Source organism: Homo sapiens, chromosome 7 (assembly GCF_000001405.40).
Source record: "Homo sapiens chromosome 7, GRCh38.p14 Primary Assembly".
NCBI classification, from domain to species: domain Eukaryota; kingdom Metazoa; phylum Chordata; class Mammalia; order Primates; family Hominidae; genus Homo; species Homo sapiens.
In genome coordinates, this window is record NC_000007.14 from 37,118,077 (window position 1) to 37,137,213 (window position 19,137).

Consider the following 19,137-nt stretch of genomic DNA (forward strand, 5'->3'; position numbering starts at 1 on the left):
TTAAGTTTAATTGCACATTACACACTGTCCTGTAATTATGTCGCTTGGGGAACCGCCAAATTCCCCCTTGAAATGTTAGAAGTCCCTTAGTTTATTTTAAAGTCTTGGCGTCGCCTCCACCAGCACCCTGCCTTAATGCACAGAGGCTACTTGGTTCCTGTTCCCTTCAATGCATACTGTTGTCCTGCGAGGGATCCACTCTATGGTCTGACTCCTGGTACAGAGGGCTGATGATGCTCAGAGCTCCCAGAGCACTGGTCCAGTGCAGTCTGTTTATAATATACTCGTGTGACTTTTTTCTTTAAAACTCACAACAGGAGAAACTGGGAAACATGCCTTTTCCTTTTCTTCAGTCTCAGGAGGTTGGGATTAAAGTCCTTCATTCTCAGCCAGGGAATAAACACCCAACCAAAGATGAAATGCCTGCTTTCTGGGAGTTTACAAGGATGAAAAGATAAACACCGAGCAAATACATATGAAACTCTCAGAAGGCTGTACATCAATCAAGTACTACTTTAAGGAGTGGGAACGGGAACAATCAACTCAAATGGTTGAAGCACCTTCTATGTGCTGGCGGTGTGCTCAGAACTTCACAAATGTTATTACAGACTATCATCATCAACGGGCACTAACTCGAGTGCCTTCAAGTACCAGGCAGATAACCAGAAAGCATGAAGCAGTCAGCCATAATACAAGAAGGTGTCTGGGGCTCTAAGTTAATTGGGGAGGGAGTGTAAGCCCTGAAAAAAGGCAATCAAATTCTCTTCTTTTTAATAACACTGGGTCAGTGAAGCAAAACACATCTGTAGGACTCATTTGAACTGTGGCTACCACCTCCATATGAATCTATAAGCCTCTCAAAAGCACACAGTATGGACAATGGACACATATTATCTGGATTTAAAATTCAGCTCTGGTACTACCTTAGCTGTGTGACTTTGGACAAACCACTTAACCTCTCCATGTGTCAGTTTCCTCGTCTGTAAAATGCAAACAGTAACAGTGGCAACCTCAGAGGGGTGGTGCAAGAAATAAATGAAAATACTCAGCTTAGTTGTTCTAGTGAGCTCCAAACATGTGATTGCTGTGATCATTGATGTTTAGCTCCCTGACTGGAAAGGCTGAAAAGAGATTCCCCAAAATGACTCTGAACTTGAGGTGGGCCTTGAGGAGAAGAACAGAGAGATCTACAGACTGGAAGGAAAGGGCATAAGGTTTCTTTATCTTCCCATGTCTGGGAACATTGAAGGGAAATTACAAATAATGTATGTTAAGTACTCAGAACATAGTAAAGGCTCAAAAGATAGTAGCTTTTCTCACGCTAGGTAATTTCAGAGCATTTTCTTTAGGTTGCTGCCTCAAAAAATCCAGGCCTCCCTGTCCCAACCATTAGTTAGGATCTAAATCATTATTTCTCCCAACTATTTTTTGTAAGTATGATGTAATATGCATTGCATCATGAGGAGGAAAAACCCACTTAAAGGTTTTAAAATAGTGTAAACTAAACATACTTTAAATTCTTCATCTGTTTAAAAAAGTGGCTATAATGAAACAATCTTGAGAAAACAATTCTTCAGTAGAAATAGCCATCTTTACTCATAGACTTATTTACTTGACATATTACAAATATTTGTCTTCTGATTTGGCATAATATTAGAAACATATATATGCTCTGTCTCACAACTGCACGAAAACATTGTGATTAATCTTATTTTTAAAGGCATTTCTATTCTCCCCCCTCAGGAAATTCATTATCTTCTATAACAGTCAGCCAGTATGCAAAGATTTTCCAACTAGATGAAATGTTAATCATAAATTATGAGGGACGCTGAAGCAAGGTTCTGTCTCCAGATTGTATACATTAATTATGTGATTTTTTGGGTAAGCAATTATATCTCGATAAAACTAGAAAACAAAAAAGAATTGCCAGATATGTAAGGAACAAACAGTTTCCAAGATTTACTTTTAAATTTTTTCCTGGAAACCTCAAGATTATACAAATTCCGTTGGGTAACAGCTTTGTTGAGTAGGATTTTATCAACTGGTTGTGTAGCAGTTTAATTAAGAAAATATTTGGGGTCCAGGTTCCAAGATGGCCAAATAGGAACAGCTCCAGTCTACAGCTCCCAGCGTGAGCAACTCAGAAAACGGGTGATTTCTGCATTTCAAACTGAGATACTGGGTTCATCTCACTGGGGATTGTCGGACAGTGGGTGCAGCGCACCAAGCGTGACCCGAAGCAGGGAGAGGCGTTGCCTCACCCGACAAGCGCAAGGGGTCAGGGAATTCCCTTTCCTAGCCAAGGGAAGGGGTAACAAACAGCACCTGGGAAATTGGGTCACTCCCACCCTAATACTGCGCTTTTCTGACGGTTTTAGCAAACGGCACACCAGGAAATCATATCCCACGTCTGGCTCAGAGGGTCCCACGCCCACAGAGCCTTGCTTGTTGCTAGCATAGCAGTCTGAGATCAAACTTCAACGCGGCAGCGAGTCTAGGGGAGGGGCACCCGCCATTGCTGAGGCTTGAGTAGGTAAACAAAGTGGCCGGGAAGCTCAAACTGGGTGGAGCCCACCTCAGCTCAAGGAGGCCTGCCTGCCTCTGTAGACTCCACCTCTGAGGGCAAGGCATAGCCGAACAAAAGGCAGCAGAAATCTCCGCAGACTTAAATGTGCCTGTCTGACAGCTTAGAAGAGAGTAGTGGTTCTCCCAGCATGCAGCTTGAGATCTGAGAATGGACAGACTGCCTCCTCAAGTGGGTCCCTGACCCCTAAGTAGCCTAACTGGGAGGCACCCCCCAGTAGGGGCAGACTGACACCTCACACAGCCGGGTACCCCTCTGAGACGAAACTTCTAGAGGAACATTCAGGCAGCAACATCTGCTGTTTACCAATATTCGCTGTTCTGCAGCCTCCGCTGCTGATACCCAGGCAAACAGAGTCTGGAGTGGACCTCCAGCAAACTCCAACAGACCTGCAGCTGAAGGTCCTGACTGTTAGAAGGAAAACTAACAAACAGAAAGGACATCCACACCAAAACCCCATCTGCACGTCACCATCATCAAAGACCAAAGGTAGATAAAACCACAAAGATGGGGAAAAAACAGAGCAGAAAAACTGAAAATTCTAAAAATCAGAGCGCCTCTCCTCCTCCAAAGGAACGCAGCTCCTCACCAGCAACGGAACAAAGCTGGACGGAGAATGACTTTGACAAGTTCAGAGAAGAAGGCTTCAGACGATCAAACTTCTCTGAGCTAAAGGATGAAGGTCGAACCCATCGCAAAGAAGTTAAAAACCTCAAAAAAAGATTAGACAAATGGCTAACCAGAATAACCAATGCAGAGAAGTCCTTAAAGGACCTGATGGAGCTGAAAACCATGGCATGAGAACCACATGATAAATGCACAAGCTTCAGTAGCCAATTCGATCAGCTGGAAGAAAGGGTATCAGCGATGGAAGATCAAATGAATGAAATGAAGTGAGAAGAGAAGTTTAGAGAAAAAAAGAATAAAAAGAAATGAACAAAGCCTCCAAGAAATATGGGACTATGTGAAAAGACCAAATCTACGTCTGATTGGTGTACCTGAAAGTGACGGGGAGAATGGAACCAAGTTGGAAAACACTCTACAGGATATCATCCAGGAGAATTTCCCCAACCTAGCAAGGCAGGCCAACATTCAAATTCAGGAAATACAGAGAACGCCACAAAGATACTCCTCGAGAAGAGCAACTCCAAGACACATAATACACATAATTGTCAGATTCACCAAAGTTGAAATGAAGGAAAAAATGTTAAGGGCAGCCAGAGAGAAAGGACGGGTTACCCACAAAGGGAAGCCCATCAGACTAACAGCTGATCTCTCGGCAGAAACTCTACAAGCCAGAAGAGAGTGGGAGCCAATATTCAACATTCTTAAAGAAAAGAATTTTCAACCCAGAATTTCATATCCAGCCAAACTAAGCTTCATAAGTGAAGAAGAAATAAAATCCTTTAGAGACAAACAAATGCTGAGAGATTTTTGTCACCACAAGGCCTGCCCTAAAAGAGCTCCTGAAGGAAGCACTAAACATGGAAAGGAACAACCGGTACCAGCCACTGCAAAATCATGCCAAATTGTAAAGACCATTGAGACTAGGAAGAAACTGCATCAACTAACGAGCAAAATAACCAGCCAACATCATAATGACAGGATCAAATTCAAACATAACAATATTAACCTTAAATGCAAATGGGCTAAATACTCCGATTAAAAGACACAGACTGGCAAATTGGATAATGAGTCAAGACCCATCAGTGTGCTGTATTCAGGAAACCCATCTCACATGCAGAGACACACACACACTCAAAATAAAGGGATGGAGGAAGATCTACCAAGCAAATGGAAAACAAAAAAAGGCAGGGGTTGGAATCCTAGTCTCTGATAAAACAGACTTTAAAGCAACAAAGATCAAAAGAGACGAAGAAGGCCATTACACAATGGTAAAGGGATCAATTCAACAAGAAGAGTTAACGATCCTAAATATATATGCACCCAATACAGGAGCACCAGATTCATAAAGCAAGTCCTTAGAGACTACAAAGAGACTTAGACTCCCACACAATAATAATGGGAGACTTTAACACCCCACTGTCAACATTAGACAGATCAATGAGACAGAAAGTTAATAAGGATATCCAGGAATTGAACTCAGCTCTCCACCAAGCGGACCTAATAGACATCTACAGAACTCTCCACCCCAAATCAACAGAATATACATTCTTCTCAGCACCACACCACACCTAGTCCAAAATTGACCACATAGTTAGAAGTAAAGCACTCCTCAGCAAATGTAAAAGAACATAAATTATAACAAACTGTCTCTCAGACCACAGTGCAACCAAACTGGAACTCAGGATTAAGAAACCCACTCAAAACTGCTCAACTACATGGAAACTGAACAACCTGCTCCTGAATGACTACTAGGTACATAACAAAATGAAAGTAGAAATAAAGATGTTCTTTGAAACCAGTGAGAACAAAGACACAACATACCAGAATCTCTGGGACACATTTAAAGCAGTGTGTAGAGGGAAATTTATAGCAATAAATGCCCACAAGAGAAAGCAGGAAAGATCCAAAATTGACACCCTAACTTCACAATTTAAAGAACTAGAGAAGCAAGAGCAAACACATTCAAAAGCTAGCAGAAGGCAAGAAGTAACTAAGATCAGAGCAGAACTGAAGGAGATAGAGACATAAAAAACCCTTCAAAAAAATCAATGAATCCAGGAGCTGCTTTTTTGAAAAGATCAACAAAACTGATAGACCACTAGCAAGACTAATAAAGAAGAAAAGAGAGAAGAATCAAATAGACGCAATAAAAAATGATAAAGGGGGTATCACCACCAATCCCACAGAAATACAAACTACCATCGGAGAATACTATAAACACCTCTACATAAATAAACTAGAAAATCTAGAAGAAATGGATAAATTCCTCGACACATACACCCTCCCAAGACTAAACCAGGAAGACGTTGAATCTCTGAATAGACCAATAACAGGCTCTGAAATTGAGGCAATAATTAATAGCTTACCAACCAAAAAAAGTCCAGAACCAGACAGATTCACAGCTGAATTCTACCAGAGGTACAAAGAGGAGCTGGTACCATTCCTTCTGAAACTATTCCTATCAACAGAAAAAGAGGGAATCCTCCCTATCTCATTTCATGAGGCCAGCATCATCCTGATACCAAAGCCTGGCAGAGACACAACAAAAAAAGAGAATTTTAGACCAATATCCTTGATGAACATTGATGCAAAAATCCTCAGTAAAATACTGGCAAACCGAATCCAGCAGCACATCAAAAAACTTAGCCACCATGATCAAGTGGGCTTCATCCCTGGGATGCAAGGCTGGTTCAACATATGCAAATCCATAAACATAATCCAGCATACAAACAGAACCAACGACAAAAACCACATGATTACCTCAACAGATGCAGAAAAGTTTGACAAAATTCAATAGCCCTTCATGCTAAAAACTCTCAATAAATTAGGTATTGATGGGACGTATCTTAAAATAATAAGAGCTATCTATGACAAACCCACAGCCAATATCATACTGAATGGGCAAAAACTGGAAGCATTCCCTTTGAAAAGTTGCACAAGACAGGGATGCACTCTCTCACCACTCCTATTCAACATAGTGTTGGAAGTTCTGCCTAGCGCAATCAGGCAGGAGAAAGAAATAAAGGGTATTCAATTAGGAAAAGAGGAAGTCCAATTGTCCCTGTTTGCAGATGACATGACTCTTTTTCTAGAAAACCCCATCATCTCAGCCCAAAATCTCCTTAAGCTGATAGGCAACTTCAGCAAAGTCTCAGGATACAAAATCAATGTGCAAAAATCACAAGCACTCTTATACACCAATAACAGACAAACAGAGAGCTAAATCATGAATGAACTCCCATTCACAATTGCTTCAAAGAGAATAAAATACCTAAGAATCCAACTTACAAGGGACGTGAAGGACCTCTTCGAGGAGAACAACAAACCACTGCTCAACAAAATAAAAGAGGATACAAACAAATGGAAGAACATTCCATGCTCATGGGTAGGAAGAATCAATATCATGAAAATGGCCATACTGCTCAAGGTAATTTATAGATTCAATGCCATCCCCATCAAGCTACCAATGACTTTCTTCACAGAATTGGAAAAAACTACTTTAAAGTTCATATGGAACCAAAAAAGAGCCCACATTGCCAAGTCAATCCTGAGCCAAAAGAACAAAGCTGGAGGCATCACACTACCTGACTTCAAACTATACTATAAGGCTACAGTAACCAAAACAGCATGGTACTGGTACCAAAACAGAGATATAGATCAATGGAACAGAACAGAGCCCTCAGAAATAATACCACACTTCTACAACTATCTGATCTTTGACAAACCTGACAAAAACAAGAAATGGGGAAAGGATTCCCTATTTAACAAATGGTGCTGGGAAAACTGGCTAGCCATATGTAGAAAGCTGAAACTGGATCCCTTCCTTACACCTTATACAAAAATTAATTCAAGATGGATTAAAGACTTAAATGTTAGACCTAAAACCATAAAAACCCTAAAAGAAAACCTAGGCATTACCATTCAGGACATAGGCACGGGCAAGGACTTCATGTCTAAAACACCAAAAGCAATGGCAACAAAAGCCAAAATTGACAAATGGGATGTAATTAAACTAAAGAGCTTCTGCACAGCAAAAGAAACTACCATCAGAGTGAACAGGCAACCTACAGAATGGGAGAAAATTTTTGCAATCTACTCATCTGACAAAGGGCTAATATCCAGAATCTACAAAGAACTCAAACAAATTTACAAGAAAAAATCAAACAACCCCATAAACAAGTGGGCTAAGGATATGAACAGACACTTCTCAAAAGAAGACATTTATGCAGCCAACAGACACATGAAGAAATGCTCATCATCACTGGCCATCAGAGAAATGCAAAGCAAAAGCACAAAGAGATACAAAGAGATACCATCTCACACCAGTTAGAATGGCAATCATTAAAAAGTCAGGAAACAACAAGTGCTGGAGAGGATGTGGAGAAACAGGAACACTTTTACACCGTTGGTGGGACTATAAACTGGTTCAACCATTGTGGAAGACAGTGTGGTGATTCCTCAAGAATCGAGAACTAGAAATACCATTTGACCCAGCCATCCCATTACTGGGTATATACCCAAAGGATTATAAATCATGCTGCTATAAAGACACATGCAGACGTATGTTTATTGTGGCACTATTCACAATAGGAAAGACTTGGAACCAAGCCAAATGTCCAACAATGATAGATTGGATTAAGAAAATGTGGCACATATACACCATGGAATACTATGCAGCCATAAAAAATGATGAGGTCATGTCCTTTGTAAGGACATGGATGAAGCTGGAAACCATCATTCTCAGCAAACTATTGCAAGGACAAAAAACCAAACATCGCATGTTCTCACTTATAGGTGGGAACTGAACAATGAGAACACTTGGACACAGGAAGGGGGACATCACACACTGGGGCCTGATGTGGGGTGGGAGGAGTGGGGAGGGATAGCATTAGGAGATATACCTAATGTAAATGACTAGTTAATGGGTGCGGCACACCAACATGGCACATGTATACATATGTAACAAACCTGCATGTTGTGCACATGTACCCTAGAACTTAAAGTATAATTTAAATATATATATATATATATATATATATATAAAAGAAAAGAAAATATTTTATTTATCACATAGCACCATGCCGAATCAAACAGAGAAAAGGGGTCAGGCTTGTTCTATTCCATACTGACTGCCCAACAGAATACTTCTCTAAGAAGCAGTGCCGTTGTTTAAAATTAGGTCACTGGGAAAGGGGGCAAGCCTAAGTGATTCTGATATAAACAGTATAATAACTTACAAAATAATGAAATATTTACCTGCTCAATATATTGTGAAAAACTGCAAAGAAGTATCAAGCAACGTTTTTATAACTTGATAGTTGTGCCCAGCATAAGTCACATCTAAAAATCCCAAAGGAAACAAGGAAACTCTCAAGTAAAAAACAAATAAACAAATACTGCCTTCACTTGATTGCTTTTCCATGTCAGGTATTTCAGAATCAGATCCTGCCTTTCTTCACCACCACAGCCACTGCGCATGGCTCCACGCAGGCACGTGGTAGGTGTTTGATAATATTTCATGAAAAAGTCAATGAATGAATGAATGAATATGAATGTTAAAAGGATTTTTCTTCTTTTAGTTGGATACTTTTTAGCGCCTAAGAAGATGGACTGTTTCTGTTTTCTATGTGTATTTTTTCCCTCTGAAAAAGATGTAATCAATAATAGAAACATCTCATTTGCATGCATTCGGATTTTATTGTTGGGCGTTAAATGTTTATCTAACTTTTTTAGAGCCTGGGATTAATGCACAGTTTGCTTCTGTCTCACTGTAATGCCAAGAGGGGTCAGATGACTGACAATAGGTTCTGAACATCTGAATACTTCTGCATGTTACTTCTCCTATCACTACTCTGAAACTAAAGACTATCTCTGACACATGAAAAGCTTTGCAATGATACCTTCCCTGGGCCCACTTATTCCTTAAAATAGCATCTTTTGGGTGTCAATCAAGTATCTTTAGAAATGGCTTCCTGACCATGCTAGACTTCAGAAGATCTTTAACTGAATATGACGACTTGTTTGATAGTCCTGTGGACTTTCCATGTTTTCTAATTATTCTCTCTTTGACTCTGTCCCCTTTCCCTCCATTCCAAGAATGACAACACTGTTTCCCTCATCATACTCCAAGCCCAGAGACGAGGCTACAGAACTGGAAGAAGCCTGAGATTTGGAGGCTTGTCTACTGGCTGTTTGACAGACCAAACTCTCTGTACCTCTCTAAGTCCCAGCTCCTGAATTTATAAAATGGTGATAACAATGCTTGTTCCTAGGGATTACTTGAAGACTGAGCTCAACTATGCAGCCTGTCTTGCATGTTACCAAACCCACACTAGGTATTCATTTGCTCTGGCCAAACGGGAAGGTGAATATTACCATGAAGAATTACATTATCCTGAGATCACCCTATCTGCTAGTCATAGCCTTTTTCTTAAGTATTTCTTATTATTCCAGTTCCACCTTTGAGAGAGCCCTAGGTTTCCTTGCCATTGCTTCCTGCTTTGTGGTTGAATCTTGGCTCCCACATTGGCCAGCATAGGTCTTCAGCCAAGCTAAAACCAGGTAATTTGGGTTTTTCAGTAGTTCCCAGTGAATAAAATTAAATACATCAAGAACATAAATTTGGCTGGGCTCGGTGACTCACACCTGTAATCCCAACAATTTGGGAGGCCAAGGCGGGCAGATCATCTGAGGTCAGGAGTTCAAGACCAGCCTGGCCAACACGGCGAAACCCCATCTCTACTAAAAATACAAAAATTAGCTGGGCATGGTGGTGCGTGCCTGTAGCCCCAGCTACTTGGGAGGCTGAAGCATGAGAATCACTTGAACCCAGGACACGGAGACTGTGGTGAGCTGAAAATGCACCACTGCACTGCAGCCTGGGCAAAAGAGTGAGACTGTATCTTAAACAAACAAACAAACAAACAAAAAACATAAACATAAAAAAAGAAAAACAAAACATCTACAACACGCTCAACTCTGTACCATTATCTTGTCTCTGAAAATAATGACAGCAGGCTCATGGGCATGAGCCAAGAACCCTCCCTCCACTTGTCTCCTTATTGAGACAGCCTTGTACCATTCCTCTGGTCTGGAAAGCTGGGGAGTGAAACATTTCTAGAAAAAGTAAAAGCAATTATACCCAGAGTAAGTAAGACTCGGAAGTCTGAAATCATGCTATGCCTCCAGATTTTACTCCATGCACAGTAGGATACTCAGATTTGCAATTCCTCCTCATGTTCTGTGCCCGTCCAAGTTTTGGGGTAATTCAGTTACACCCACTGCTTTCATCAGTACACAGTTACAAAACTTTATTCAAATATAACATGAGAAACCAGGCTGTCCATCACAAAATTCACATATCAAAAATATACCTTTATAACTGTTAGGAGGAACAAAAGCCATGATTCTCCAATGGTAAAAAAAGCATTTATCATGGTCAAGAGACTATTTAAACCAGAACTAAAAAAAGCTCTTTACTCATGTGAATTACAAGAAATGATTAAAAGCCACTATGTGCTAGGCTCTGTGCCAGGGGCTAGAATATAAATGAACCTTGGTGCCTGCTCACAAGACATTTACAATCAATTAGGGGAAATAGAAAGTAAATACATTTAAGGCTGTACAATGTTCTAGGATTTAAATTGTGTGTCCACGGTGCAAAGAGAGTGGATGGAGTCATCCGGGTAGAGGGTCAGGAAGTCTTCTTCAGACAGAACATGGCCTTTGCCATGAGGGCTGTCCAACAGGCACATGATGTGGGACAGGCACTCAAGCAGAAACAAGAACGGGAGCAAAGACACAGTGGTAGAGACTTGCCTGGCTAGTTTGGCCTACCATCATTTATATAGACAAAGGCTACTATGGTGGTGGGGGGATGGAAAGAGGGAAAGGGAAGTTGGTAGCAAGAGATAAAGCCACAGAGATAGGCTGTGGGCCAGGCATGGTCCCTTGAAGCACTCGGAACTCTTTAGGAAGATCATCCTAGCAACTGGCACGGAAGATGGGTTTGAAGGTTCCAGACATTAGCAAGGAGGCCACTAAGATAATATTGTGACAATACAGAAGAATGAATTGGAGGGAATAAGAATGCTTAAGGAGTTAGAATATAGATTGTGATGTCTACGTGGGTCTCAGCTCAGCCACCCAGATCTCACTGCCTACGGCATATGTCCTCCTAGACAGATGTCCCACATGCATGTAAGAGTCTGGATGGTCCAAATGCCTGCCCCTTCACAGACCTGCATTATCTGTTTCCTTAATGGCACCACTGTCTACCTCCCACTCAAGGCAGAAACCTCCCTCTTCCTCGGAGAAGGTCAAGTTGATTTTAGTTCCAAAGTAACTCATTCAAACTGCTCCATTTCATTGCCACTCCCACTACCCTAGTTCAAGTTATCTCCATTTCTCTATAATTTCCCACATTTTATTTTTGCCTCTGGTCTTGATTTCTCACATTGGTTTTCTAGCGGGACAGTGATTTGTCTAAACTTAATTCTCATCTTCATTTAAAACACTTCAGAAATTCTTCACTGCCTTTAGGTCCAACAGACCTCTTCAGATGGCTTAAGACATCCCCACTGAAGTAGCACATTTGCCTCACAAGCCATGCCCCGTTTGCCAGTCCCTGCCCTGGCCATCCTATACTACTGTGGCTCCCTGAACAAAGCAGGCACCATTGTACCTTTGCTCTCATGGTTCCATCCACATGAGGTAGTACTCTCCATCTCTTCCCTTCACCTAGTTAACTAGTACTATTCAACAGTTCTGAGCCTAGATGTCACTTCCTCCAGGAAGCTTTCCTGACCTGACCCCCACATCTGTGTTGGTGACTTTCCTCTGTGTTCCCAGCATACTCAATCAAGACACATGACAAGTGACTTGGAAACTGCCTGGTATTTGTCTCTTCACCCCCCACCCCACCACCACCACCTCTACTTTTGATCTCTAGACAGTGAACTCCTCAATGTCAGGACCCATGAGCAACTTGTTTTCTTGAGGAATCCCCATCCTTTGGCTCATGGCTGGGCATTTGATGGTTACTTAGGAAATGTGCAGCCTGAGGGACTGAGACAAGCAAAGGTCCAGAGACAGAGTCCTGGGGGCCTGTGCATTTCATGGGCAGGTGGAGGAGAAACCTGCCAGAGAGACTAAGAGCAACGGTCAGCAACAGAGCCAAGACAGATCACTGGCTGCTGGGCAAGAGAGGACTGGTCACTAGAGAGTGTCAGGTGTCAAGGGCAAGGCCAACGAGACAAAGGATGAGGAAAGTGCTCTGCATTTGGCAATACAGCTTCCAGAAAGCAATGGAGAGAAGTCTTGGAGCAGGATGCTGAAAAGTGAGTGGCAGGCAAGTTGAACACAGGGCAAAAAACAACTTGGGAACATATGGCTAGAAAGTGGGTGAGGGACCATGATACCTGGGAGTGACAAGGGCAACGAGGGAATATTTGTGCATATATACATGTGTTTGTGTGTGTGTGTGTGTGTTACAATTTTTTTTTAATCTCAACTATAAATCTGACTGGCAAAGAGAGTGAATAGTGAGGCTATATTCAGGTACAGAATAAGCATTTATCAAATGAAAGATATAAATAATAAATGAAAAACTGCATTCATAGAGAAGATATACATCCTCAAAAAGGCGGATTTTTATCAAAATGCAAATTGAAAAGATTGAGCCCATCTTTATGTTTCAGAAAAGACCATTGAGCTCATGAATCAAAATTTAATTAGCTGCCCAGATCACTATTTTCACTACCTACAGCACTACTGCCATATCATGGAGATATCTATTGTCAAAGTCACCCTAAAATTTCCTTGCAGAGATCTTCAGAATTTATATATGCTCTACTAACCCCATGCATTCACATAAATAGCCTTAGCTTTCTATCTAGTAAATGCCCCAAAGTCAAATGGGACACAGAAAAAATTAGGGAAAGGACACTTCTGAGAAATCAACAAAGTCATCTGAGATACAGGAAAGTCTAACCAATAAAGAAAAGTGCATGTGGACCAAAAGCCACACTTCTCTTTACAAATAGGTTTTTTCTTTTAAGTCCTGATCAAATATAAAGTTTTGTCAGGCTGCCATGGTATTCATTTCACTTACAATGTTTAAAGAACACATTGAGGAAAACAGGCTTAAAACATTAAATTACTTTTCATGAGACATATGCTTCTTATGCAATTAACAATACATTCAGCATCAATAAGCTCCAATTTTAGAAACACTCATCCATGAACATTAATCAGTTAGTGGTAAATTCAATTTCTACTTAGCTTCTACTTTTCACGCTCAACTCTCCAAGGCTATACTACATGGTATCTCAAAAATATTAATTTACTTACTACAAAAGCAGATTACATTATTAGAAATCATCTGTGCAAAAAATATATTCGCATATAAGTCAAACCAAAGTTTTATGGAAAAACAATTTTCTTATGTGGGACTGTATTTCTGACCAAACACCTGATCCCAAACCTTTCAGAGAAATGACAATAAAATTCTCTATATATTCAGATTACAAATAATATTTCAGAATAGGTCAAAGCTTCCCAAACTCCATATATATAGAACAACACACAGATTTAAAATATATTTCCTAAAGAGAACTCAGTGATCTGGCATGGCCTTATTCAAGGAGGTCACTGCTGGGTGGTACAGTTTTTCACTGTGCCGACGGTCCCATAGATTACAGATTTTGGCCAGTAGCACACCACTAGGCATGGTGACAACTGAAGAAACACGCCCACACATTGCCAAATGCTCTCTAGGGGAATAAATACTGTCCCAGCTAAGAACCATCAAGTCTCTCTGGTTTACAGAGGAAACATGAGGCCAGACCAAAGGAAATGCCCACACTGACATCACTAGATGATGATAGTGCCAGGCTCGAACCCAGGTCTCCAGGGAGCCAGTGCTACAGAGAATCCAACAGAGAATATGAGATTAATGGACATGCTCTTACCATATTTTAAGTTCAGCCTTACTCTTCCTGATTTAGGCAACTTGTTCATCAAATACTTTCTAAGCTTACATCTAGTCATCATTTTAACCACTCACCAATTCCCCTGCCCCATTTATTCATATCCTTCCCTGATCTCAATCTTGGATCTACCTCATCCTGACTGAATCTGGGTTCTTCACCCTGAGGACAGGGGAGAGGTGTCAGCACAAATCCAGGGCTCCAACCGAGCAGCCCTGATAGATGAGAGCCTTCTCCACCACTGTCGCCTTAGGCTTCCATTCATTTATTCTCCATGCCAGCAATGCCCAGTCAGCGGATGGCATCTTCAGCAGGTGGCATCTTCCATTTCACAGAGAAAATAGAGTCCCCCACTTCCTTCTGCTCCACCCACAAATTAATCTACCTTCGTGACTAGAATTTGACGAGTCTGACGTGAAATGTAAGAAGGCATTTCTCTGCCTTCCCCATCTCTCCCATTTTTCTCTTTGTTTCTGTTTATCTTATTGTTCCTCCAGTGTCAGACTCAACAGCCTCTGAATTTGGAGTCATGCAAGTTTTTGGTAGGTAGTTCATTTTTGTTCCTTGTTATTTAAGAGTTTTTGTCATAATTCAATATTGGACTATATGAAATGTTTTCCTAGTATCTACCGTATTTTTTAATGTCATCGAAATAAAAAAATTAAAAGTTAAAATCCTCATTTCAGTCCCCTGATTGATCTCACTTAATTCTGATTTTTTTTTTTTTTTTAGTTTACTAAGAAAGACAGAAAATATGGGGTCACTCATCTAAAGGTAATCCCTCCGTATTTGTGAGTTTGAAATTAACATTGAGTAGGAAACACACAATATCTGAAAAGGGGCTTCTTGCTTACCCGGATGTAGGCATCTTGGTGGTGCTTGGCAAAGTACAGCATGTTGTCCAGAGCCAACATCCCAGGTGGAGTCTGCGTGAAGTCCATGGCAGGGTTGACATGATTCTGTGAGTAAAACAAAATCATGATAAGGTGAATTCTTCAGCAGATTTTACCAACCACCAGAGATCTGATTTCCCTCCTCAAGAGTGAAGTGCTACAAGGTAAGGTCCAAATAATCAAACATGATGACATTTTCTATCTCCATGTAAACCTACTGAGGTGGATGCAGGGACTTCTTTCTACTGCTCCTCAGGACAGCAAAACCAGATTTTATACCTGGGATTAGGAAACCAAGCTAAATATTCAAACATAGGATTATTCTTAGACATGTGACATTGTGAGAAAAAGAAAATGATGCAAAAATTATTTCTGGTGGCTGCACTAAAATGAAACCAACAGCATTTGGGTAGAAAAAAACTGGGATAAAGCCACACCTCTGGTATTTAATTTGGAAGCTGACTCCAAGGAAACCACGACCTACCCACACCTTGACTCCGCATCCTTACGTGGGAGGTTAAATACAGCCCCATACATTGATGGGCTTTGTGAACTGTCCAGGGCTACACAGTCCACAGGCCTCTGAGCACAGACACTGGATAAAGTTCAGATATCCACAGGGTCCTGACATCTGCCTGCTCTCAGGAAGTCTGAGAACCTTCCTGTCTGGTCTTTAGGGTCACCACACACAACACACAGAACCCCAAAGATTAAATAATAGCTACAGATATGCAGAACTCAAACACCTCAGCAACACAAAAAACAATCCAATTTAAAAGTGGGCAAAGGACATGAATAGACATTTTTCAAAAGAAGACATACAAATGGACAACAAGCATATGGAAGAATGCTCAACGTCAGTAATCATCAGAGAAATGCAAATGAAAACTACAATGAGATACCATCTCACACCAGTCAGAATGGTTACTAGTACAAAGACAAAGAATAACAGATGGCAAGAAAAGGGAAAAAAGAAAATGCTTATATACTGTTGATGGGAATGTAAATTAGTACAACCTCTATGGAAAACACTATGGAGATTTCTCAAGAACTAAAAATAGAACTACCATTAAATCTAGCAATTCCATTACTGGCTATCTACACAAAGGAAAAGAAATAATTGGCTGGGCATGGTAGCTCATGCCTGTAGTCCATTTTGGGAGGCTGAGGCAGGTGGATTATGAGGTCAGGAGTTTGAGACCAACATAGTAAAACCCTGTCTCTACTAAAGATACAAAAAATTAGCTGGGTGTGGTGGCGCGCGCCTGTAATCCCAGCTACTCGAGAGGTGGAGGCAGGAGATTAGCTTGAACCTGGGAGGCGGAGGTTGCAGTGAGTCGAGATCACGCCATTGCACTCCAGCCTGGGCAACAGGGCAAGACTCCATCTCAAAAAAAAAAAAAAAAAGAAGAAATCATTATACCAAAAAGTCATCTGCACTCGTATGTTTATTGCAGTACTATTCACAATAGCAAAGATATAGAATCCACCTATGTGTCCACCAATGGATGACTGGATAAAGAAAATGTAGTACATACACATAATGGGATACTATTTGGTCATAAAAAAAGAATGAAATCATATCTTTTGTAGCAACATGGATGGAACTGGAAGCCATTATTTTAAGTGACATAACTCAGAAACAGAAAGTCAAATGTCACATATTCTCACATAGAAGTGGGAGCTAAATGATTTGCACACATGGGCATGGAGTGTGGAATGATAGACAATGCAAACTCAGAAGGCTGGGAATTGGTGGGATGATGAGAAATTGTTTACTGAGTACAATGCACTATGTAGGTGATGGATACACTAAAATCCCTGACCTCACCACTATTCAGTGTATCCATGCAACAAAAATTATACTTGTACCCCATAAATTTACCCAAATAAAAAATAGTTACAAATATGCCTAAGAGGAGAAGGCCGGGCTGATCTGAACTCTCCATCTACTTGAGATCACCCAGCAAAAACATCACTAGATTCTTACTAAGATTAGCAATCTACTCTTCACCATTAATTACTGAAAACAATGACCAGGAACTATCCTGAAAATGCACATCTGCCAGTTTTTCCAAGATGGTGGATAGGAGGAAGGACTAGTTGCAGCTTCCATTTGGAAGGATAGAGTAGCATGTGGAGACTTACATCATGAACTTTTGTTCCAAGAACAACCGCAGGAACATACCAGGAAAGCTGAGATAATTCACAGACCCTTTGAAGGAACTGGATCACCACCGCAGGCTCCCTGGGAGGCAACCAGCACACTAAACAAAAACACAACCAAGGACCCGCACAGAGTCCACTTCACTCCCCTGCTAACTCCACTGAAGCAGGTGCAGGTATCAATGGCTGCAAGACCTGAAGACCGATCATATCACAGGACTCTGCAGACACTTGCCAGTACCAGCATGGAGCTGGGTAGCTCTGCTGGGTGGCTAGACCCAGAAGAGCAAAAACAATCACTACAGCTTGGCTCTTAGGAAGCCACATTCCTAGGAGAAGGGGGAGAACACCACATCAAGGGAGCACCCTGTAAGACAAAAGAATCTGAACAGTAGTCCTTGAGTCTCAGATCTTCCCTCTGACTTAGTCTACCCAAATGAGAGGGAACCAGAAAAACAATTCTGGTAATATGACAAAACAAGGTTCTTTAATATCTCAAAAGATCATACTAGCTAACCAGCAATGGATCCAAACCAAGATTAAATATCTGAATTGCCAGAGTAAGAATTCTGAAAGTGGATTATTAAGTTACTCAAGGAGGCGGCAGAGAAAGTTGAGGTCCAATTTAAAGAAATAAAAAACAGGATACAGTATATGAAAGAAAAATTCTTCAGTGAAACAGCATAAATAAAAACAATCAGAACTTCTGGAAACCAAGGACACACTTAGAGAAATGCAAAATTCACTGGAAAGTAACAGCAGTAGAATTAGCAAGCAAAATAAAGAACCTCAAAGCTCAAAGACAAGGCTTTCGAATTAACCCAATCCGTCAAAGACAAAGAAAAAAGAATTTAAAAAATGAAAAAAGCCTCCAAGAAGTATGGGACTATGTTAAACGTCCAAACCTAAGAATAATTGGTGTTCCTAAGGAAAAAGAGATATCCAAAAGTTTGGAAAACATATTTCTGGGAGTAATTGAGGAAAACTCCCTCAATTACCTTGCTAGAAATCTAGACAACCAAATACAAGAAGCCCAAAGAACACCTGGTAAATTCATCACAAAAACATCATCACCTAGGCACATAGTCAACAGGTAATCTAAAGTTAAGACAAAAGAAAATCTGAAGAGCAGTGAGGCAAAAGTATCAGGTAACCTATAACGGAAAACCTATCAAATTAACAGCAGATTTCTCAGCAGAAAACTTACAAGCTAGAAGGGACTGAGGTCCTATTTTTAGCCTCCTTCAACAAAACAATTATCGGCCAAGAATCTTGTATCCAGTGAAACTAAGCTTCATAAGTGAAGGAAAGATACAGTCTTTTCCAAACAAACAAATGCTGAGAGAATTCCCCACTACCAAACCAGCACTACAAGAACTGCTAAAAGGAGCTCTAAATCTTGAAACAAATCCTCAAAAAAAAAAAGAAAAAAATAGAACCTCCTTAAAGCATATATCTCAGAGGACCTTAAAGCATAAATCTCACAATACATACATGTTGTGTATATAACAATAATACAATGAAGAAAACACAAAGTATTCAGGCAACAAATAGCACAATGAATAGAACAGTACCTCACATCTCAATACTAGCATTGAATGTAAATGGCCTCAATGCTTCACTTAAAAGGTACAGAACGGCAGAAAGGATAAGAATTCACCAACCAAGTTTCTGCTGCCTTCAAGAGACTCACCTAACACATAAGGACTCACATAAATTTCAGGTAAAGGGTAAAGGTTAAAAGATATTCCATGCAAATGGACAACAAAAGCAAGCAGGAGTAGCTATTCTTATATCAGACAAAACTAACTTTAAAGCAACAGCAGTTAAAAAAGACAAAGAAGGACATTATATAATGGTAAAAGGACTAGCCCAACAG

The 19,137-nt window shown here is 40.6% G+C and overlaps 1 protein-coding gene across 14 annotated transcripts in view; it reads right to left on the reverse strand.

Moving 5' to 3' along the window:
- Positions 1 to 19,137, reverse strand: part of ELMO1 (engulfment and cell motility 1) — a 596,421-nt gene that overhangs the window by 265,171 nt on the left and 312,113 nt on the right. For all 14 annotated transcript variants that reach the window (NM_001206480.2, XM_011515654.3, NM_014800.11 and 11 more), the window contains one exon: positions 15,054 to 15,158. In NM_001206480.2, coding sequence (NP_001193409.1) covers positions 15,054 to 15,158 — 105 coding nt within the window. The remainder of the gene's footprint in view (positions 1 to 15,053; positions 15,159 to 19,137) is intronic.